Source organism: Homo sapiens, chromosome 12 (genome assembly GCF_000001405.40).
Source record: "Homo sapiens chromosome 12, GRCh38.p14 Primary Assembly".
Classification (NCBI taxonomy): domain Eukaryota; kingdom Metazoa; phylum Chordata; class Mammalia; order Primates; family Hominidae; genus Homo; species Homo sapiens.
In genome coordinates this window covers 129,433,586-129,456,777 of record NC_000012.12, presented here as the reverse complement: position 1 = coordinate 129,456,777, position 23,192 = coordinate 129,433,586, and the positions used below count along the sequence as shown (strand labels likewise).

Here is a 23,192-nt window from a genome sequence, read left to right as displayed (position 1 = left end):
AGATGCAGCTCGTAGAGGAGAGAAAACAAGAGTGGACTGGGATGACCATTGGGTGGATGAGGAATCAATAGAGAAACAAACAGTTCCATCTGCCGTTTATGGGTAAAAGAGAGCAGATGAAGAAGACATGGTTACCTATGGCTTGGTGATTTGGCCACTTCCCTTTTCTGGGACAAACTCAGATTGTCAATTTTGTGAACAAAGAACAGTTTTTATTCTACCTGCATCATGAGAGCCACATGGAGGGACAGCTCCATTTGCCCCTGGAAGAATCTGGCAGACACTGGGAAGTCAGCGGTAAGAAAGAAGTGAAGATATTTGGGTTGGTCAATGTCAAGCCATAGCATCCTGGGAGACAGCTTCACCAGTAGTGGGAGAACTAGAGACTCAACTTCCATCTGTTCTCTCTCCTCAGCCATGGTCACTGGATTATAATAATAATGACAACAGTGATAAAATTGGTGGTAACAGCAGGTAACGTTTGCTGAGTGATGTCCCTGTACCTGGCACTGTGCTCATATACTCTCTTATTGGTGATCTTGAGAAAGGACCACTAAAGTTATCTCTAGTTTAGACATTCAGAAATGGCATTAGTGGGGAGAGTAATATATACACACATGATTAACAACTGGCAAAACCAAAGTCTAAAACAGAATTTTTTATTTTACTTCAAAGGTTTTGTTTTAACTTCTCCAATATCCTACCTGCCCATCCACCCGGTCACATGGTTCTGTCTGCTAACATCTCCTGAAACTATTCACCTCCTGCCATTGTATCTTGCCTGGATTATTGCAATAGCCACTTAAATCATCCCCCTGCCTCCACTGTCTCTCCTCTTGAGTCTATTCTTCACATAGAGAGTAGGGTTGTCCTTTAATTAAAAAATGGAGTCAGTGTATAACCCTGTATTAAAACTCTCTGGCTCCCCAGAGGACACAGTTTAACCTCCTTTTTATTAGACATGGTCTCTTCTAATATGGTCTAAACCCATTTTACAAGCAGCATCTCCAGACATGCTCTTTTATGCTTTCTAAGCTCCAGCTGTACATTGACCTTCTTCCAAGACACATAATGTGCTCCTGAGCCACCGTGCCTTTGCACACACTGTAAATCCTGTCTACAGTCCCCTCCTTCCCTTTCTGTCCTTGGAGAATTCCTGGTAATAATACAATACCCAGTGAAATGGTGCCCTCCTTAGAAGCCTTCCCCAGCTCCTTCTCCCAAAGCTATTTTCATTCTCTTTCATGTTTTTACTACTATTTATGTTTTGTCATCAAATTGCATTATAATCACGTTATATACGTGTGCTTCCCCCTCAAATCTGTGTTTTTTAAAAGAGTAACTCTATCATCCTACATACATCATCTCATTTGGTTCAAAACCACGATATAAGATAAATGCTATGATTATCCTTAATTAAAGTTGATGAAATAGAGACTCAGAAAGGTTAAGTACCTTGTCCAAGGATGCAAAGCCTGTACATGATGGACCTGGGGTCTGGATCCAGGATGTCTACCTCCAGAGCTCTGCTCATTCCTACTACTTTAAGGCATTGTTCTTGTCTCAATGCTCTGAGTGTCTTATTCCCATGGCTTTATAGCCTGTCTTTGAATACACTTTCATAATGCTGGAACCTAATAGCATGCTTATTGGATAGACGCAGTTTCCCTTCCAGAATCAGCAGCAGAATTATTCATTGGTGAACACTCTGAGCTTTTGGTCACATGCATCTGTCTGCTGCAGAAGTACCACATGTGGTCCTGAGAGACGGGGCTGAACCATGAGTGTTGATTTGGACCCTTTTTAAGCTTTCTTCGGGTTGACTGTTAATTAGTTGGGTTTCTTCCACTTACATTTGGTTGTCCTTAACTAGAGAAGGGAGGTCACTACCAGGATATACAGCCATGGAGTTCATCAAGGAAAACAGACTGACTGCCTGCCATCTTGGATTGTAATGGCACTTGTGGATGGCTCAGAGCTAAGTGATGACAAACTGGAGATGAGAGGCAGAGACACGGACAGAAAGTCAATCCTCTTATGGTGGAATCAGTTCTTTTGTAGACCCCGCTGTCCTTGGTTCCTGCAACAGCTAAAAAGGTGATTTCTGAAGAGAAACCTCTTACTGTTTTGAAATGCAAATGCAAGGCTTCTTAAGCTTGACTTACACATGAACTCAAGGGCCATTTGGTTTTGCATGTTGTTAAAAATATTGTCCACTTGCCTGTAAAGTATCATTGTGTCTTGGATGCCTTAGCTTAACCATCTGACAGCTCCTTTATCCCCCAACTGGAAGAAAAATAGGAGACTTCTTAAAGCCAGTTACAGCCCCTTATGGGATGTTCTCACAAGGAAAAATCTGAATAAGAAACCCCTGCCTTGACTTCCTCTCTGACATTATTGATCCTGTTGGCTTTGGTTCCCACATCTGTCACCTGAGCCACACCCTCTACACCATTAACATGGAAATGGAACTTTGATACTGAGAGGAGTGCCTTACACCAAGACCTCTAAATCTGAAGTCTAATCTTTTCCATAATTCCATAGTGTAGTCTCAATAGCAATGCTTGGACCTGTCATTCAGTTAAGTGCATAGTATTCAGTGCACTCTGCTTAGCACTCGGTAGGAAACAAAGTTCAATGGGACACAAAAGCTAACCTCAAAGAATTAAATTCTGGGCAGAAGGATAATCAAACTAGACAGAGATTTATAATACATGGTGTAAGCCAAGTGGTGCCATAACATGAACATTGCTGTAGTTGCTGCCTGGTACCCATTTTAGAAGATAACTCCAACTGGTCTTTGGAAAACCATCCTTCTCTTACTCTCAGTTCATCTGGTTAAGGGATAACTGCCACTAAACAAGTTTTAGGGCAGATGTGAGAGCAAGGTGACACCAAACAGAACATCACACACAGACTCATACACAGACACAGGAACACGCAGATGCACACACAGTAGTAGCAGTGATTAGTTCAAGAGGCAAAGAGTCAACGTAGGACGCAAGCCAAGTCAAGGAGAGACAATGAGAATCAACTCTAAAACTGTTAGGGAGCAAACAAAGAAGAGACATCTTCAGTCCCTGGATCCAAGTTCACTGAAGGTGGAGCCTGGAGCTGCTGGGGCCTGCCCACAGCAGTCAGCGTTCGTGCACAGGTGAAGTTGGAGAGAAGACAGCACATCCTCAATACAACCAGAACCTTTGGGTCCAGCCACTGCTAGAGTTTTTCATCACATGTCAATAAATCCCTGTATAAATTACTTTTTTGACTTCAGAGAGTGTGAGGTTTCCATCATTTGTAGCCAAATAATATAAAAATTGTGCTGTTAGTAGAAAAGGAACTCTCCAGTTGAAAGGAGCAGACTTAGCCCTTTCTTTGAATGCAGTTTGGATTTAGAAAGGATGGGACCCTGCGGGAGGGAATTCCAGGCAAAGAGACACCTTGCGCAAAAGCCAGTAGCCCATGCTGCAAAAGCCAGCAGATATGGGCTTCGTTTAGTAGGCACGCCTTCTTAGATCATCTAAAACAGCGGTCCCCAATCTTTTTGGCACCAGGGACTGGTTTCCTGGAAGACAATTTTTCCGTGGACTGCAGAGAGGTGGGTGATGGTTTCAGACTGTTTCAAGCACACTACATTTATCATTAGATTATGATAAGGAATGCACAACCTAGATCCCTTGCATACGCAGTTCACAATAGGGTTTGTGCTCCTATGAGAATCTAATGCTGCCCCTGATCTGACAGGAGGCAGAGCTCAGGCAGTAAGGCTCGCTCGCCTGCCACTCACCTCCTGCTGTGGGGTCCAGTACCTAACAGGCCACCAACCAGTATGGGTCCATGGCCCCGGGGGTTGGGGACCCCTGATCTACAACCTGTCTGGATTTATACTAAGATTGGGGATACAAAGATAATTTTTAAATGTTACGAAAGAAACTATATGTTATACCTGATTTAACTATTGCACAAGAAGGAAGTGCAGGGAGAAGGGTAAATCAGACGAAATTGGCAGAAAAATCTGCAAATTTCTGCCTACCCTTTTCTCTGTCTCTCTCTCTCCCCTCCTTTCTTCTTTCTTTTCTTCTTTTTTTCTTCCTTTCTTTTAAAAATACTCTCACCAGAAGCCATGGATCAACAAAGGTTTTAGAAAAAGAACAATTATCAAATTATGAATTCCCAGGATGTTTACATTAGGATAATGTTAGTGCTGACCTGATAACCCCCTTAATTTACCTGTACATTGACAGGGACCCTCAGTTGTAGACTTGGCTCCCAGAGTATCACTGATGAGGTGTGACAAGGATGAAGCCCCTTGCAAGAATTAAGTTAACATTCACTAAAACTAAGAGGAAGGAATGTGAGCCAAATCACTTTGTAAGCACGGAAGATGAAACAGCAGCTACTTTTTCAGAGATGGCTTCCAGGTTTTACTGACCAACTAGAAAGTAAGTTTGAAATGTTTGCCAAACCCAAGTACGTTCATAGTGGTCCTCACAATTAACAGAGAAATGCCTTTCTTCCGGTGTTCGGCATGTTATTCATTTTTTCCAAGACAGGCGCTATTACGCACTGCCCTTTTCTCAGGCAAAATCCAATCATTCTCTTCACTGTTCTGTAAAGTGGGCCAGATGGAACGGTGTAAAGGTATCATCTATCATGATTCCTGCATGGTGTCTCAGAGGACATGAGGAGCCAGGAAAAATTCACCAAGGCTTAGAAATAGCATTTCGTCTCTTTAAACTGACCTCCAGGAACCCAGATTCAAGATGTCCTGTGTATCCTGGGCTTTATGTCTCTATGGCAGATTGCTACTTGCCTACTCACCATCTTTTCTGCCCTTCATCCTTACTCACTGTAAGAGGTAGCAATGCTCCCAGGTAAAACAACTTCCAGGTTCCTTTGCAGCTAGTATAGCCGTGTGACCCAGTTCTTGCCAATCAAGTGCAGGTGGAATTTTCTAGGTGAGGCTTCTAGAGGGATAGTTTTCAGTGGCATACTCTTTCTGCCTTTGCCCTTTCCTCCTGCCTGGGTTTCTGTTGATATCATGAAGCTGCCATATCAGTCCTGGCTGTCTTTTCTCTGGATTTCTTGTCACATGAGAATAACGTCAATTTGGGCATGCCTCTGTGGTCAGGTTTTTAGTTCTTGACATCTTTAATAAATCCACTTTACCTCTGCTTTATTATTCAAATTTAGTCTTTGGCTTCACATATTTTATCATGAGATTTTTTGCTTAGTATCCACATACTAGTTCTATTTTTCAACATTTCATTAATTTACATGATTTATTTCCCTGTGATTGCTACCCAAACTTCTCTATAAAGCATCTAGTCACTGTAACTAATGCTCATTCTGCAGGAACCAGATATACAGCAAAATGTTCACATGAGAAAGCAAGACACGTGCAGGGGTGCAGCTATGCAGTTGCACAGATCTAGGCTTTAGCGACTCATCTACCATGATTAATGCCTGCTTATCAGAGTTCTAACTTGCCAGCTGGGTAAATTCTGGCAGATTTGTTTCTGTTGTATATTTTTTAAAAACTCTTTTCTAGCATCTGTGCATTTTATTTACCTTAGCCAAGCTTCACATTGTAGGAAGCCCATGAATTGAGCATTTCTGAGAGGGCAGCACCGTCATTTGGATTTCAGTGCATCAGGAAGGAAGAGACGTCACACTTCCAGAGCCCAAGGAGGCCTCATAAGAAGTGATGAAAATTGGCCGGGCGCGGTGGCTCACGCCTGTAATCCCAGCACTTTGGGAGGCTGAGGAGGGTGGATCACGAGGTCAGGAGTTCTAGACAAGCCTGGCCAAGATGGTGAAACCCTGTCTTTACTAAAATTACAAAAATTAGCCAGGTGTGGTGGTGTGGTGGCAGGCACCTGTAATCCCAGCTACTCGGGAGGCTGAGGCAGAGAATTGCTTGAACCCGAGAGGCAGAAGTTGCAGTGAGCTGAGATTGCAGCACTGCACTCCAGCCTGGGCGACAGAGTGAGACTCTGTTTCAAAAAAAAAAAAAAAAAAAAAAAAGAAGCGATGGAAACTTTTGGTTGCTGAAATGACCTTCTGGGTGCTCAGTGATTGCCTGAATGGGCTCTCATGGGGACCCTGTTGCAGGGATGCCAACGAACTTGCAAATCCTGGTTTCACAGCTGATGCTGCCAATAGCACATAAATGTCAATATTTTTTGAAGCATAGTACTGCTTGTTTTTTTCTTTTGAAACTAGAGTGCATTTTACTCTTACTTGAAATTTCATGTAGCCTCTTCACTTACATGGGATTAGACTATGAAATCCAAGCATCATTGAAACTCTTTTCTAAAACTTTTAAGTTCAGGGGTGCAAGTACAGGTTTGTTACATAGATAAACTTACGACATGGGGGTTTGTTATACAGACTGTACAAAAATTCACTCAAGATGGATTCAAGACTTAAATGTAAAACCCAAAACTATAAAAACTCTGGAAGAAAACCTAGGCAATACCATTCAGGACACAGGCACAGCAAAGATTTCATGACAAAGATGCCAAAAGCAATTGCAGCAAAAGCAACAATTGACAAATGGGATCTAATTAAAGAGCTTCTGCACAGCCAAAAGAAACTCTCAACAGAGTAAACAGACAACCTACAGAATGGGAGAAAATGTTTACAAACTGTGCATCTGACAAAGGTCTAATATCCAGCATCTATAAGGAACTTAAATTTACGAGAAAAAAACCCGTGCAGAAGTGGGCAAAGGACATGAAAAGACACTTTTCAAAAGAAGACATATATGTGGCCAACAATCATATGGAAAAAAGCTCATCACTGATCATTAGAGAAATGCAGATCAAAACCACAATGAAACTCTTTTAGAGTCAAAATTGTTTTTGAAAATCTTTTGATCACAAGACCCACGGACTCACTTCAAACTGATCCAACATATCCATATGTCATCCAGCACCAAACAGACCATTGCTTCTGTCTGGGGAGTCGGGGTTGCTGTGTTTTGTGTGTGTACCTGAGGAAGTAGTTGGCTTTCCCTGAGGACCACACGATATCAAACTTACAAATTTTAAAATACTGGATTCACACTTGGTGTGCTGAGATTTTTCACACAATGAGACGCTGGAAAATGGGACATGAATTCCACCTCCTGTCACTCCTGGTGTTGTATGATTTGGTGGTCGATACCATCTGAAGTTGAATTTGGACAAGTAAACACTCATGTGCAGAGACTCCGTGTACCCATATTGCTGTCTAGCCTGACCAAGGAGAGAACTACAAAAATCTGAAGCTGTCAATATGTGTTGCACCACAGTACCTAGAACTCCTGCTCTGCAGGCTCAGAAAGTCTGGCGGGTTTAGTGGAAACTTAGACTACAGCCTTACCTAACTCTGCACGGTGATTAGAAGCTGAGCTGGTTGGTTACTCATTCCTTAATTATTCATTCCTTAACACCAGGCAGGACTAAGCATGGCTCTAAACATCACCTAACTTATTCTCAAAGCATTCCTAAGAAGTTGATTTATTTTCATTTATATCATCGAGTAGGTAAGGGTCCAAGTGCTTACACAGTTTTCCCCAGGTCAAACACTGATGCGGTGACTGCTCTCACATTTGAACTCTGGAGCTCCTAAAGCCAATGCATAGGGTCTTCCCTCTTAACAATACTCCATTCCCATTGTGAACCATGAAATCTCACTTTATCCGGAAGATAAAAGAAAAACAAACAAGAAGGTGGCCTGCAGGTAAGGCAGAGCTGCAAAGTCTTCACCGTTATCTTATTCACTACTGATGCCTGGGTGGAATTCCAGGAGGCATTATCTTTCTTTCAGAGATCCAGGACACCTACTATGTCTCACTACTTTTGAGCATTTAAAAATATTTGATTTATGATACGTTACTGGCATTGGGACAACTAGTAAATATAGTGTAGAAATTACTAATATGCTTCATGTAAATTACTTCAAAATACTTTAGGCTTGGAGCATCAGATGAGCAGACATGGTAGAACTCATGGCTGTTAACACGCAGGGCAAGTGTTCATTGTATCAGCCCCTTTATTTTTCCTGTATGATTAAAGTTTTTTAAAATAAGAATGTTTTTAAAATGTACTTCACTATTTATTATATACTTTGAAAAAAATTGGAATCAACGTAAATGCTCACCAATGACCGACTGGATAAAGAAAATGTGGCATGTATATGCGATAAAATACCATGCAGCTTTGAAAAAGAACGAGAATCAAGTCCTTTGCAGCAACATGGATGGAGCTGGACTCCATTATTCTTAGCAAATTAATGCAGGAACAGAAAATCAAGTTGTCTGAATGTTCTCACTTATAAGTGGGACCTAAATGATGAGAACACATGGACACACTGAGGGGAACAGCACCCACTGGGGCCTACTGGAGGGTGGAGGGTGGGAGGAGGGAGAGGATCAGGAAAAATAACTAGTGGGTACTAGGCTTAGTACCTGGATGATGAAATAATCTGCACAACAACTCCCCGTGACATGAGTTTACCTGTGTAACGAACCTGCACATATACCCCATAACTTAGAAAAGAGAAGAAAAAATCATTTAGCCAGTCTAAGCCTCAGTTTCTGCATCCGTCAAACATAATGGGCACCACACTGTATGATTGTAAAGAATAAAAAGATTAATGAGTGAGGTGCTTGCTGAAGTGTCTGACATAGACTACAGTCCGTGGGCCATATTCCCTCATGCATTCATTCTGCAGAAACTTCCTGAGCATCTACGAAGCCAAGCACTACGCTGAAAACGCCACAGACGATCTCATTTCATGCTTATCCTGAAGATATAGATAAATAAGACATAATTCTTGTTGTCAAGCACTCACTGTTTGCTGGAGGCTGAAAGACACCTTGCAGATTATAACAAATCAGATAAATAGTACCCAGATGGGCCAAGTGATTAAGCCGGCATCACTCAGCTCCTTAGTGGTGGAGTTGACAAGGAACCAAAGTCTCCTGAACCTGATGCTGTTTCCACATCACCACACACTCTGGTTTGCGGAAGGACCGTGCATTTATTTTATTGCATATGTAGAAAACTTCACTACTACCCCAGTGTTCTTCAAAAGAGAGTGAGCTAATTTGTACAGTGCACAGACATCATTTAGATAGCAATGAACCTTTTGGCAAGAAAGTTAACCTCTTTTCAGCTTTTTTTCCCATCATTCTGGTTACCTCAAGGAGAAAGGCTTTGTTCCATACAAGATGTCTTTAAATCCTCATGTTTGCTTACGTTATTCTTCATGGGAGAGTACGAGTCCAGATGCGGAGCCCTCGGCAGGCAGTATGTAGTTAGGATTAATAACATCACTTTATTTTCTTATTGGTTGTGTTTAGGGCTCCCTTCTATTTATTGCAAACGATACCAGTTTTCACTTAACAGTAGTGTAATAATGCTTCCTTTCAAAATGAATGTATTAGTAAAGAAAGCAAGTGAATTGAATGAAAGGGTTACGTTTGCATAATAGTGTCAGTTACAATGACTGAAGTGAGAAGACTGACCTAGACAATTTCCTGAGATAGAAATGCCTCTTCAGTAAAAAAAATTGGATAAAGTGCTGGGTTTTGGACGGTGGTTGGAAAAGCAAATTGAGAGTGTGGCTGCAATTGTTTCTACTCCACCAAGTCACTTTCCCAGTGTCAGGGAAGATGAGAGGAGAGAGACAGAGAGATGGTTGGTTTGGGCTGGTGAAGGGCAGGTTCTGCTCTGGGGACTCTGGTGTGAGTAGCAGGATTCTCTACACTGCAGATTAGCTTGTTTTAGATTTGAATTGATGGTTAGATAATGCTCTGTGTGGTCCGCTTGGGGACTTTGCTGTGTGCTTGCTAATACTATGCTCCATATCCGAAGCATTTATTTCCTAAAGACAGTTAATGCCAGCCGGGTCTCACGGCCAGGCGAGTTGATTAAAACTTGGCAGGCACAATCGCTGTTTCTAATAAAGAAATCACCACCACAGCATTTTTTCCTCCTTTAAGTAAGAGAGGGGGAAATTGTGAAAAATCAAAGCCTGGAATATATTTTTGACAGCAGCTCTTAATTTCCCTCTTTTAATCAGTTTTACACAGCACCTGTCCTCACCATGGCATGGGAAGCAGTAATGCTGTGAATATTTTTATCATTCATCTCTGCTCAGGAGGTAGGGAGGACTGAGATCTTCAAGAGCAGAGATTTGAGAAGTGTTAACGGGACAAAATGGACATTAAATATCAATTAATAAACATGGGTTATGTGTGTAAGGATTTAATGCCTTTATTCCCCATAAGGACAGAGATCTTGTCTCTCTCATTCCTGCTATGACCCAATTCCTGAGACATCGTATTCTCCATAAATATCTTTGAATGAATACGCCAGAGTGTTTCTGCTTAGGAATTAGCACAGCTCCGGAGGGTACAGTGCACAACACCTGTTGCAAAAAGCCTGACATCAATATTCTGCAGGGATACCTGATATTCCTAGGAATTAGGGATGGAAGGGCTAACCAAGTCACACCACATCCTCTCTAACAGTGCCCCCTTCTGTGTGCCCTCAAGGACTCAGCATACCATGGGTGAGTGGCTTTGTGACCACCCAGTTCCACCAGCTCAGTATTCTGGTTCTCAAATCCCCCTACATCCACCAGCTGCTAGAAGCATTGAGAACCAACACCTATCACCTGAGCCCGTCTTTTGCACTTGCCCTCAACAGCAGGGAGCCACCTTGCTCAAGCTTCTCTCCCTTTTCTGAGCCAGCGACTGGTAGAGCTGTATAAAGTCCCAGCCCCTGGTACCAATTTGGAGTAACCCTGCAGGGACACCTCAGGTCTACACCTCCCCGGGGATACGCTGAGGACTTTGCTGCACCGGCATCACAGTCTGATTTTTCCCTCTACCTTGTTCTGCTTCCTTCATTCCCCTGCAGAGGTTTATCCCAATAACTTCCTGCACATAAATGCATCTCAGCGTCTGCTACTTGGGAACCTGACCTGCAACAAGTAAGAATACAAATTGCCAATGGAGGTGATACTGTGAACTGTGACTATGGGTGGTTTATTTGGGTGAACTCCAGAGCTTTAAGATGGAAGTGACAGAAGTCCAACCCATGCTGGCTTAATGAACCCATGACCTGGAAAATTCAGAGGGAGGGGCTTCAGGCACAGCTGGATCCAGGGGTTCATGGGATGAGATTATAATTTCACCTCTCTCCTTCATCTCCCTTTCCTTTAGGTTAGCTTCAGTCTCAGACAAACAGACAAGGCAGTGAAAAGACAGTCCCCAGAATCTAGAGGCTTACAGTCTAGTACCTTTTTATAAAATTTAACTTAATTTGATTTTGAGTTCAGGGGTACATGTGCAGGATAGGTAAACTTGTATCTTGGGGGTTTGTTGTGGAGATTATTCAGTCACTCGGGTATTAAGCCTAGTACCCATTAGTTATTTTTCTTGATTCTCTCCTTCCTCCCACACTCCACCCTCCCATAGGCCCCAGCGTGTTGTTCCCCTCTTTGTGTCCATGTGTTCTCATCATTTAGCTCCCACTTATAAGTGAGAATATGTGGTATTTGGTTTTCTGTTTCTGCATTAGTTTGCTAAGGATAATGGCCTCCAGCTCTATCCATGTTGCTGCAAAGGACATGATATTGTTCTTTCATGGTGTTTATATACCACATTTTCTTTATCCAGTCTTTCATTGATGGATATTTAGGTTGATTCCATGTCTTTGCTTTTGTGAATAGTGCTGCAATGAACATTCATGTGCATGAGTCATTATAATAGAACAATTTACATTTATCTGTGTATATACCTAGTAATGGGATTTCTGGGTCAAATAGTAGTTTTGTTTGTAGTTCTTTGAGGAATCATCACACTGTTTTCCACAATGGTTGAACTAGTTTACATTTCCACCAACAGTGTGTAAGCATTCCTATTTCTCCACAACCTCTCCAGCATCTGTTAATTTTTGACTTTTTGATAGTAGCCATTCTGACTGGTATGAGATGGCCTCTCATTGTGGTTTTGATTTGCATTTCTCTAATGATCAGTGATGTTGGGCCTTTTTCATATGCATGTTGGCTGCATGTATGTCTTCTTTGGAAAAGTGTCTGTTCATGAGAATACACGGACAAAGAGAGGGGAACAACACAACTGGGGCCTGTCAGAGGAGGGTGGGGAGGGGGAGAGCATCAGGAAAAATAGCTAATGCATGTCCAGCTTAATATCTAGGCAATGGGCTGACAGGTGCAGCAAACCACCATGGCACACATTTACCTACGTAACAAACCTGCACATGTATCCCAGAACTTAAATAAAATAAAATAATCTCTGTTCATGTCCTTTGCCCACTTTTTTAATGGGGTTGCTTGTTGTTTTTCTTCTAAATTTGTTTATTTCCTTATGAATACTGGATATTAGGCCTTTGTCGAATGTATTGTTACAAAAATTTTCCCCCATTCCGTAAGTTGTCTGTTTACTCTGCTGGTAGTTTCTTTTGTTGTGCAGAAGATCTATTAGTTTAATAGATCCCATTTGTCAATTTTTGCTTTTGTCACAATTGCTTTTGATGTCTTCATCATGAAATCTTTGCTGTGCCTATGTCCTGAATGGTACTGCCTAGGTTTTCTTCCTGGGTTTTTATAGTTGTGGGTTTTACATTTAAGTCTTTCATCCATCTTGAGTGAATTTTTCTCTGCAGTGGAAGGAAAGGGTCCAGTTTCAATTTTCTGCATATGGCTAGCCAGTTATCCCAGCATCATTTATTGGGGAAAGGGGAGTCCTTTCCCCATTGCTTGTCAATTTTCTTGAAGATCAGATAGTTGTAGGTGTGTGACCTTATTGTACCTTTATTCTTAAGAAAGCAAATCTTTTCCTTGTCAATTCAGAAAACTAAAATTTGCAGTTTTGATGACCGCAGTCATTTGGGCCACGTGGCCATACCAAAAAACAATCATTATCGACAAAGAATGTGAAACGTGTATTGATCAGGCCTGGCTTGCACACTCATATTCAGATCTGAGAAGGACACACATCCTCTGAACTACGTGCACAGAAGCAGGGAGAGATGGCACTCCAGAGAAGGGGGAGCTGAAAGCAGGGAAAGGGAGAACAATGTTGTTTAGGAAATTAAGAAATATATTAACTTTGGGAGAGAGATGAGTGAGGGGTGAAAGGAAATGGAGATGGAAAGAATAGAGAAAGAGGAAGGGAGAAGGGGGAGAGCCAGAACTGGAGCCAGGGACAACAAGTCCAGGAGTGGGAGGGAGGGAGATGGAGAGGGTATCCAAGGACAGCCTTGCGTCACGGTTCCTCGGCTGTGGGCCATCGCTCACCAAACTCAGCTTTTATCTTCTCATATTTATCATCAGATCAGAGTGTGTATAAAGCAGTTTTTGATGATATCAGAATGGGACTTAACAGTTCAAATACTAGAGACTTGCGATGCCCAGAGATTGACATAGACCTTGAGGTGTGGGATACGGTCGGGGAGGCGGCTCACCTTCAGAATCTCATTGCTGAAAGACACACTTGTCTTCAGAGGAGTTGCGCAGGAAGCAGGCTCTGAGATGGAGATTTGTGTGCAGGGTGCTTTGGGGGTTTTACCCTTGGAAGCAACTTGTAGAGGAGAGGAGGAAGCCGGATTGGAAAGAGGCAGGAGCTGAACTCTGAGGCAGTTTCAACAACAGCCTCAGCCGACCCCAAGGGGAGCTCTGGAGTGGGCTGGCCCTTCAAAGATGCCCCACCCTGAAGCAAGGGTGCCTGGCCTCTCCACCCCACCCTGAGGAGTCACTGGAGGATGTGTTCACCTGGGAGGGAGCATGATCTTGGGCGAGGTATGCTGTCTTCAGCTGGGGGAAATTTCAGAGGTTGTCAGCCACCGTCACCTCCCTCCTACAGGAGTGACCTCGGCAGCACACCATGGCGTCCAAAACAGTACCTCTTGCAGACACCAAGATGAATACACATAAGGCGTTTGAAGGACTCTGGGTCATCCATGAGATGTATTTGACTCCTTTCTGGTCCAGTTTTAGGCTATATCCAATCTTACCCAAGTATGACTTACATGAGGCTGGGCATGGATTCCAGTATTATTCATCAGATAAATGCCTTTCTAGATTTTGCTGAGCTTTGAGACTATAACCGCTTCTAGCACATCCCACTAGATGACCATGCTGGTCATACCACTCAAGATACTCTGTGACAAGACGGAAGGAGAATGGGATGCATATGCAGTAGATATTCAGAAGACTCTACCACTCACTAACCACTTTTGGAGTCCTAGCTTCCCCCTTTAATTTGCATATTTCATCTCTCAGGAGGTCGGGACTCTTGAGTGACTTACCTGAGGTTTCAGCATCTGGAAAGGGTAGAGTCTTGGGACTCTTAAGTCCAGGATCGTTTCTCCATTAACACATACGCATGGAGCCTTCTCCCAAGAGCAAGTGCACTAATTACCTGGGTAGATGTAGGACCAGGTGTTGCCCGCACGGTGCTCACATATCCCTTCTCCACACCTTCCCTTCTCTGCTCTGAATCTAACAGAATGTGTCAATGCAAACTCTGATTCTCAGGCTCCATTGCCCACTGGCTGCTGGAAAGATTTGGCCAATGAAAGACAAGCGTTGCAGGCTTTTGTTTTTCTTTTGCAACTTTTGTTTTAGATTCCGGGGGTACATGTGTAGGTTTGTTACATGGGAATATTGGGTAACACTGGGGGTTGGGGTGCAATTGAATCTGTCACCCAGGAAGTGAGCATAGAACCCAATGGGTAGTTTTTCAAGCCTTGCCTCTCTCCTTATCTCTTGCTTCTAGTAGCCTCCAGGCCGACTGTTGCCATCTTTATGTCCATGAGTACCCAGTGCACCGCTCTCATAAGCGAGAACATGCATTATTGAGTTTTCTGTTTCTGCGCCACTTTGCTTAAGGTAACAGCCTCCCACTGCATCCATGTTGCTGCAAAGGCGATGATTTCATTATTTTTTTATCACTGTGTAAGATTCCACAGTGTATATGTGTGACATTTTCTTTATTTACTCCACTGTTGCTGGGTACCTGGGTCGGTTCCGTAGCTGCTATTATGAATAGTACTGCAGTGAGCATATGGGCACAGGGCTCTTTTTGGTAGAACAACTTATTTTCCTTTGAGTATACACCCAGTAGTGGGATTGCTGGATCAAAGAGTGGGAGTTTAAAGGGCAAGGAGAAAGCAGAAGTCAGGCTATTTCTCCTTCTCTGTGTTTTGGACAGTGTCTCACACAGTGGCTGTATCTCCTCTGTACCTCCAGCTCCCGCAAACAGTCTCTGGTTTGATTTCAGCTCCTCGCAGGCGTCTCTAGTTTCTGGTTTGGGATCACCTCCTGCCTGTTGCCTTCATCACTAGAGATGCGCCATTCACAAGTGGCCTTAACAGTTCCTCTTATGGTTTCTAGTTCTTCTCATACCGTGCGGGCAACACCTGGGTCTACATCTACCCAGGTAACTAGTGCACTCGCTCTTGGGAGAAGGCTCCTTGCATATGTGTTAATGGAGAAATGATCCTGCACTTAAGAGTCACGAGACTCTACCCTTTCCTGATGCTGAAACCTCAGGTGAGAGGTTGTTTGGAAGTTTTTACAGAAATGCTGCATATATACAGGTATGTGCATGCAATCTTGCAAATCTTAGTGAACATCCAGCATCTTCTAAACCAGTGCCCTGGATTAAATTCCCTCTATTGAACTCTAGATGGTAGCTCGACTAGACCCTGACTTATATGTCACCCAATGCATCAAAGCACTCATCAAAGCTGGACAAGTGAAGACCTCAACGATAATTGGTAAATGCCATAATAATGGATGCAAATCCGATCTAAAAACCCACATGAGCAAGACTTCACATGATGTTTCCATGGTTATTTTTAATTTCTGTTGCAAACATCCACTCTGTTGCCCAGATGCACATTAGTCTCCATTCTCTCAGGTTCTTCCACGCACTCCCCCTGCCAACCCAGGCTTCAAGCCTGTGTGTAGAACTCTCTATACATCCTGCGTAGCTTGCCATTGTCAGCGTTCGAGAGGGAAGTAAAAGGGTATCTGCATCCGTCATGTAGCCAGCAGACATCAGCAGGCATCTTGTGTCTGCCTGGGCTTCAGCTATGGGTTGGTACAGATTTATCTACACTATGGATATTTCCCATCCACAAGTCACCTCCAAACCCAATAACCTCTTAGATATGCCCATGCTATTATGGGATATATGAGAAGTGTATTCTGCTCTTAGGTCACCGAGCCTAGAGAAACCCCACACTGTTGTTTAAGATCTTATTTGCCTCCACGCGCCACATGATCATTTCCTGTCTGAGTTCTGACTTCTAAGTAAAAAGTGAGTCACAGAATGGCCGTCTTTTCACTCTCCAGATCTCTTCAGAGTTTGTAGCATCCAGTCTCTGGAACACAGAGAAACAGAACTGGCCTTTTGGTTCAGACACTCACCATCTCCATTACCCCCTTGTTTTCCTCTCAAATACCCACCTTGCCCCTTTTGAGGAAGTGTTTTTTCATCCTGAGAACAGAAAGTCCCACTTTCATGTTATCATGGATACTCCAAAATCTTTTACTTCTTTTGTGCTCAGGAGCATTTTGTTTCCTGTTGGACTAGCTTTGGTAAAAGTGAGTTTAGGTAAGAAGTGTGCTGGAATCACGGAGGCTCATGACAACAGAGGTTGGCGTTGTCCTCTCATTGCACACCCGTACTTGGTCAGGCTTCGCCAAATAACACCTCTTTTTCATTCTGGGATGAGAGCAAAATAGCTCCTCCCATTGGGGACATGTTTGTCTTGGGGAACACGGAAAACAGAGATCTTGGAACCATGACATAATCCTTCAAGCATCTGCCCCAGATGCCATACGTCACTTTCGCTCACCTGTCATGGATTAAAGCAAAGCACACATCCAAGCCTGATTTCCACAAGGCAGGAAAGGATAATCCTACCAAAGAAAGGTCAGCACATATTTGGAAAATAAAATTTAGTAAAATTTACAACACTTAAAAAAAACTCCAGGCCAGTCACAGTGGCTCACGCCTGTAGTAATCCCAGCACTTTGGGAGGCCGAGGCAGGTGGATCACTTGAGGTCAGCAGTTCCAGACCAGCCTGGTCAACATGGTGAAACCCTGTCTCTACTAAAAAATACAAAAATTAGCCAGTTGTGATGGCGGGCACCTGTTCTCAGCTACTTAGAAGGCTGAGGCAGGAGAATCACTTGAACCCAGGAGGGGGAGGTTGTAGCAAGCTGAGATCATGCCACTGCACTCCAACCTGGGCAATAGAGTGAGATTCCGTCTCCGTCTCAAAAATAAAAAACAAAAAACAACTCCAGTGCTTGGAGAACAGTTTATGTCCATTCACCTTTATGCTGGACATTGAGAACAGAATAGAATAGTTGATGCTTGAATGGAGGAGAGAAAGGGGGTAAAGAGAAAAAGAGGAGGGAAAAACTAAATGTTTAAAAATAATGACTCATAATAAAATACAAACAGAATATTGACCATCAGATATTTCGGCTGAGCTATTCTTACTGGGATTTGTCTGTTACCAGATATGAGCATTTAGTTTAGACAGAAACTCTCTGACTACTCTCATTTATTCAGTAATTCCCAATGTCCCAAATGCTCCTTCACTCTCTTTTCTACCTGGCTCCCAGCAACATTGACTGTCGAGGAAAGTCTTGCAAGGAAAGTGTACATCTTGTAGCTACTGGACTATTTTTAATCCTATGCTGGGCATAAAACCTGGAGGCTTAGAATGAGAAGATCACGGACAGCAGAGATGGCCAAAGTGATCCTGCAGAGAATTGCAATAAGAAACCTTCAAAGCAGATTCCATGTGTCCTATTGTACATGGAACTGATGAATAGATTTATTGCTCTGTGAAATTACGTCTCAGTGATCCTTTTCATGTTTTGTTTGCAGTTTTATTTCTTTTCGACACTTAATTGAATGGTGATGTAGGGATATTTTTTAAAATTACTCATCACTGAGCTATCCCATGTACAACACAAGCACAAAAGCCGTAATATGCAGTGCAATGAAATGGAACATATGATGCAGTCGCTTATACAGGTGTCAGATCCGAGGACAGAACATCTCCTTCTTCCCAACAGATGCCCTCATGTCCCCTCCAAGCCAGTACCTACACCCACCCCAGGAAAAGAAGTATCCCGACCTCTAAATCCAGGGACTTGTGTCTCTGTTTTTGGACTTCATACAAATGAAGTCATATAGTACATACTATTTTGTGCCTGGTTTCTTTTCATCAAAATAGCATCAGGGAGATGTATCTATGTTTTTTATAAATGAGTATTTTCATTTTGTTGTTGTTGCTGCATAGTATCCATTATATGAATATACAACACATTATTTGTCTATTCTATGGGTGGATATTTGAGTTGCTTCCAGTGTGGGACTGTTATGCATAACTTGTCTCTGCACCTTTCTGCACATGTGTCTTCAGGATCTAGAACCAGAAATACCATTTCACCCAACAATCCCATTACTGGGTATATACCCAAAGGATGATAAATCATTTTACTCTAAAGGCACATGCACACGTATGTTTATTGCAGCACTATTCACAATAGCAAAGACTTGGAACCAACCCAAATGCCCATCAGTGATAGACTGGATTTTAAAAAGAATGTGGTACATATTCACCATGGAATACTATGCAGCCATAAAAAAGGATAAGTTCATGTCCTTAGCAGGAACATGGATGAAGGGGAAACCATCATTCTCAGCAAATTAACATAGAAACAGAAAACCAAACACTGCATATTCTTGCTCGTAAGTGGGAGTTGGACAGTGAGAACACATGGACACATGGAGGGGAACATCACATACTGGGGCCTGTCGGGGGGAGGGGGGCTGGGGGAGGGATAGCATTAGGAGAAATACCTAATGTAGATGACGGGTTGATGGGTGCAGCAAACCACCATGGCACAAGTATACCTATGTAACAAACCTGCACGTTCTGCACATGTATCCCAGAACTTAAGGTATAATTTAAAAAAAGAAAAAAAAAAAAGAAATGAGCATTCAGCTCCTGAAGGTGTGTACTTAGGAATGGAATGTCTGTATCCTATGGTATAGGGATGTTTAGCTTTAGTACTGCCAAACACTTTTCCAAAGTGGTTATGCCAGTTCACATTCCTACCAGCAGTGTAAGAGAATTCTCATCACTTCACATCCTTACCAACATTTCATCATGTCAGAAGGTATTTTCCAAAATTTATGTCTAAAATTTGAGAAGTATGAAAACGTGCAAAGTAGAATTAACCACTGGCCATGCCCGTTCATTCATACTTAACCTCTATTAACATTTAGGCATTGTGCTTAAATAGGCTGTTATACCCCAAATACTTAAAAATACAGTGGCTCTAAGCAGACAAAGTGTATTTCTCTGTCATGGAGCTGTTTGGGGGAAGGTGCAAGGGCTCTGCTCCCTGGGAGTATTCAGGGCTCCAGGATGGTGGGGAGGCTCTGTTATTCCTAACCTGTGGCTTCAAAGTCATTATAGTTGCTCCGTTCCCAACTGGCAGAAAGAGGGCATCTCCCTCCTCAACTTCCTGGGCAAAGGACCTTATCATCCATGAAATGATTCAAATTCTCACATTCCATTGACCCTAACTCTCAACAGCCACACCTGGCTGCAAAGAAGTCTGGGAAATGTGGACTCTGGCTAGAAGACATGTCCCCAACTTAAATCCAAGAGGTTTTATGATGAAAAGGAAAAAGAAACAAAGGGGTTAGTGATGGAGCAGTCTCTATGATAGACATTTATCCTCAGTAATTGTTCTGTGTATAAATGTGGTAAATACATTATTTACTATTTTTTAAATGTATCAAATTATAGGAAAAATGAAGACTTTTTAAATCTCATTCTTGCTTTTTCCTCACCTGACCCAAGCTGAGGAGGTAACTATGATAAGTTGAATGTATATACTTCAAGTTCATTTTTATGTCGGTATACATGTATGTGTACCATTATAGAAAAATCACAAACGCACACACTTGGTTTTCTATAAGTGACGTGTTAAAATATTTTAAAACTTGCTTTCATCCCTCCTAATATGTTTTGGAGATCTGTTCATGTGGATACAAAGGCATCTAATTCATTCCCTTCATCTGCAAAAGAGTATTCCATTATATAAATTGTTTAAATACCACTCAGAAGTCCCCTCTTGATGGAAACTTACAGTGTTGTTGAATCGTCACTATCACAAATAATGCTGCAACTAAAAGTCTTGCATATCAGTGCTCATCCTCACCCAGCTGCCTCACACCACTGCTACGCTTGGTCTTTTGAAATACAAATAAGACCATATTATCCTGTTTTAAAAACTCCTGAGTATAAAATAAAATATAATTATATATATATGAGAATGTCATACCTTTCGATGATGCATGCGGTAGCTATGATTAGTTTTGACACCATGTATCAGAAAACCCAAATAACAATTTTTTAGAAAATGGAGTGATGGAATACTATTCTCTCGTAGGAAAGTAGTCTGGATACAAACTTTCAAGGGATTCCAGGACTGTTTTATGGTCTTCATTAAATCATCAGGATACCAGATTCTGAGAAGATAGTGGCTTTTTCCTCTGCCAGATTTAGGCTGAGATTCTCATCCACGTGCCCTCAAGATAGCTGCCGTGGCTCCGACCCTCACAGCTGCACTTCAGACAGGAAGAAAGGGGAAGACTGAAGAGTAAATTACACATGTCAGTTGAGTCATCCATATTCAAAGAGCTGTTCCTAAAATCCATCCAGTGTGGTCTCCCCACTTGTATCTTATTGACCAAAATGATATCACAATTGTTCCTAGCTACAAGGGACGCTGGAAAATGTAGTTTTTGGCTGATCAGAGTAAAATCAGAATTCTCCTAGTAGAAAATACATGAAGAAACGATATTTGATAATCATATTGTAGTCTCTGCACTGTCCTCATTCCAAATAATATAGACATTCCCTTTTTATGCAGTGCATTGGTCAGAATTTTAAGTACAAGCAACAAATATCAGCACTGAATGACTTAACCATAAAATGAAGGTTAAGAAGCATGGAGAATCTTCAGGGGAGAAAAACTAGGCTTGGGATTCATCATCCTGGAACAGAGGTAAACATCGTACTGCAGAAGCAGGATTCCTTTGCTGGAGGTGGCAAGCAGAAAATGCTGAGGTTACCTGGCTGATCATCAAGGCAATGCCAATCAAAACCACCATGAGAAATTGTCTCACCCCAGAATGGTTATTATCAAAAAGACAAAAAATAACAAATACTGGCACAGATGTGGAGAAATGAGGACACATATACACTGTTGGTGGGACTGTAAATTAGTATAGCCGCTATGGACATTAGTATGTAGGCACCTTAAAAAATTAAAAAATGGTATGCCCGTAAGATCCAGAAATTCCACTTCTGGGTATATATGCAAAGGAAATGAAATCAGGATGTTGAAAGGATTATCTGCACTCCAGTTTTTATTGCAGCAGTATTCACAATAGCCAAGATATGGAAACCACCTAAGTGTCCATCAACAGATCAATGGATTAACACATTGGTCTATATTATACACAATGGAATGCTAGTCCACCATTAAAAAAGAATAAAATCCTATCTTTTGCAACATGGAAAAACCTAGACATTGACTCAATAGTCAGTGAAATAAGCCAGGAACAGAAGGACAAATACGGTACATTCGCACGCCTGTGTGGAATCTAAATAAGCTGATCTCATAGAATTACACAGTAAAGTAGAGGTTACCAGAGGCTAGGGAGGGTACTGGGGCTGGGGGATGGTGAGCTATTGGGCCATGAATACAAAGTTACAGTAAGATGGGGGAATAAGTTCTGGTGTGCTGCAGCACTGTAGGGTGATATAGTTAACAATAGTGTAGTGTATATTTCAAAATAGCTAGAAGAGAAGGTTTTGAATGTTCTCACCAAAGAAATGACAAATGTTTGGGGTGATGGATATGGGTGATGGATATGCTAATTACTCTGATTTGATCGTTATGCAAAGTATGCATGTATCCAAACAGCATATTGTACCCCATAAATATGTGCAATTATTATGTGACAGTTAAAAAAAAAAAACTACAACTTTAAAAATGTCTGCGTCTCCTTTTTACATGGCTAAATCCTGGATTCGTCTCAGGACTTACCTCCTCTGGGAGCCTCCTCTGCAGCCCTGGGTTAGGTGGCCTGGGTCAGTACTGAGACACGCCCCCTTAGCATGCCATCTGTTGTCAGGCTGTGTTTTAAGAATTTTATGTAGAACAACTTGTAGTAGTCACAGCAAACGTATGAGGAGGGTATCACTATTGGCACTCTCAAATACAAATGAAGAAACTGGCACCGAGATTTTAAGTAACTCGTCCATATTCATTCGGCCATGTTCATTCAGTCACAATTTGTGCTCAAGCTACCTGACTCCAAATTTCATGTTCTCATCCGTTACCTGATGTTATCTCTTGTACACTATTAAAGCAGGTTGGTCTATTTGACATTCTCATTCATTAGGGGGAGAAATCCCAGAAGGGAGGGAGTTTGTCTCTTCCATCTTCTTCTGTCACTGGACCTCCTCTTCCAACCTAAGTAGAACATTTTTCCTCCTACAGGTCGCTCACCTCTGTTATAAACGAGATCTAGAATGTTGATCATGTTTGCATAATCCTAGAAATAATATGAGGAATGACGTTCCAGCCTGTTTCCCTGCGAAAGTATCCCTAGTGACACTTCTCTTCTTCCTTAGTTGCAAGCTCTGAATCTCAAGTCACAAATTTAACAGTGCGAGAAATATCAATTTCTCTGTTTTCTGCAACTCAAATTAATTTCTGCTTCCAGACTCTGACTGTCAGTTTGGTTTGGCATATGGTCTCTTCAGGCCCAGTAACTCTCAGATGCACTCCTGCCATGAGCAGCTGTTATCCAAGACTAGGGAACTCCATCTCCGTGTGTCCCCTCCTGCTGATGGGCATCCCTTCGTGGGGTTTCACCACCTCCCTTAGCACCTCCTGGCAGCCACGCTCTGGCCTTGCTCTTGGAGACCCAGGGTCTTCTCTCTGCTTCCCCAGTTCTGGGGAATGTATTTTTAATTTCTGGGGGATACTCTTGCTTCTCTAAATGTTTCTTTTAGTGGCAACAAGTATAATCTCCACAAAAGCCCAA

At 42.3% G+C, this 23,192-nt stretch overlaps 1 protein-coding gene across 1 annotated transcript in view, besides 1 other annotated feature; it reads left to right on the top strand.

The window, feature by feature from the left end:
• Positions 1–23,192, top strand: part of TMEM132D (transmembrane protein 132D) — an 832,300-nt gene that overhangs the window by 447,248 nt on the left and 361,860 nt on the right. The window lies entirely within an intron of this gene.
• Positions 10,157–10,326: an enhancer, noted in NCBI's record as "experimental_25513 CRE fragment used in MPRA reporter constructs". NCBI's record gives its function as "activates a minimal promoter by MPRAs in K562 erythroleukemia cells, with activity observed for both the introgressed and non-introgressed 12:129931082 variant alleles {active_cell/tissue: K562}" and the evidence as "EXISTENCE:reporter gene assay evidence [ECO:0000049][PMID:34662402]".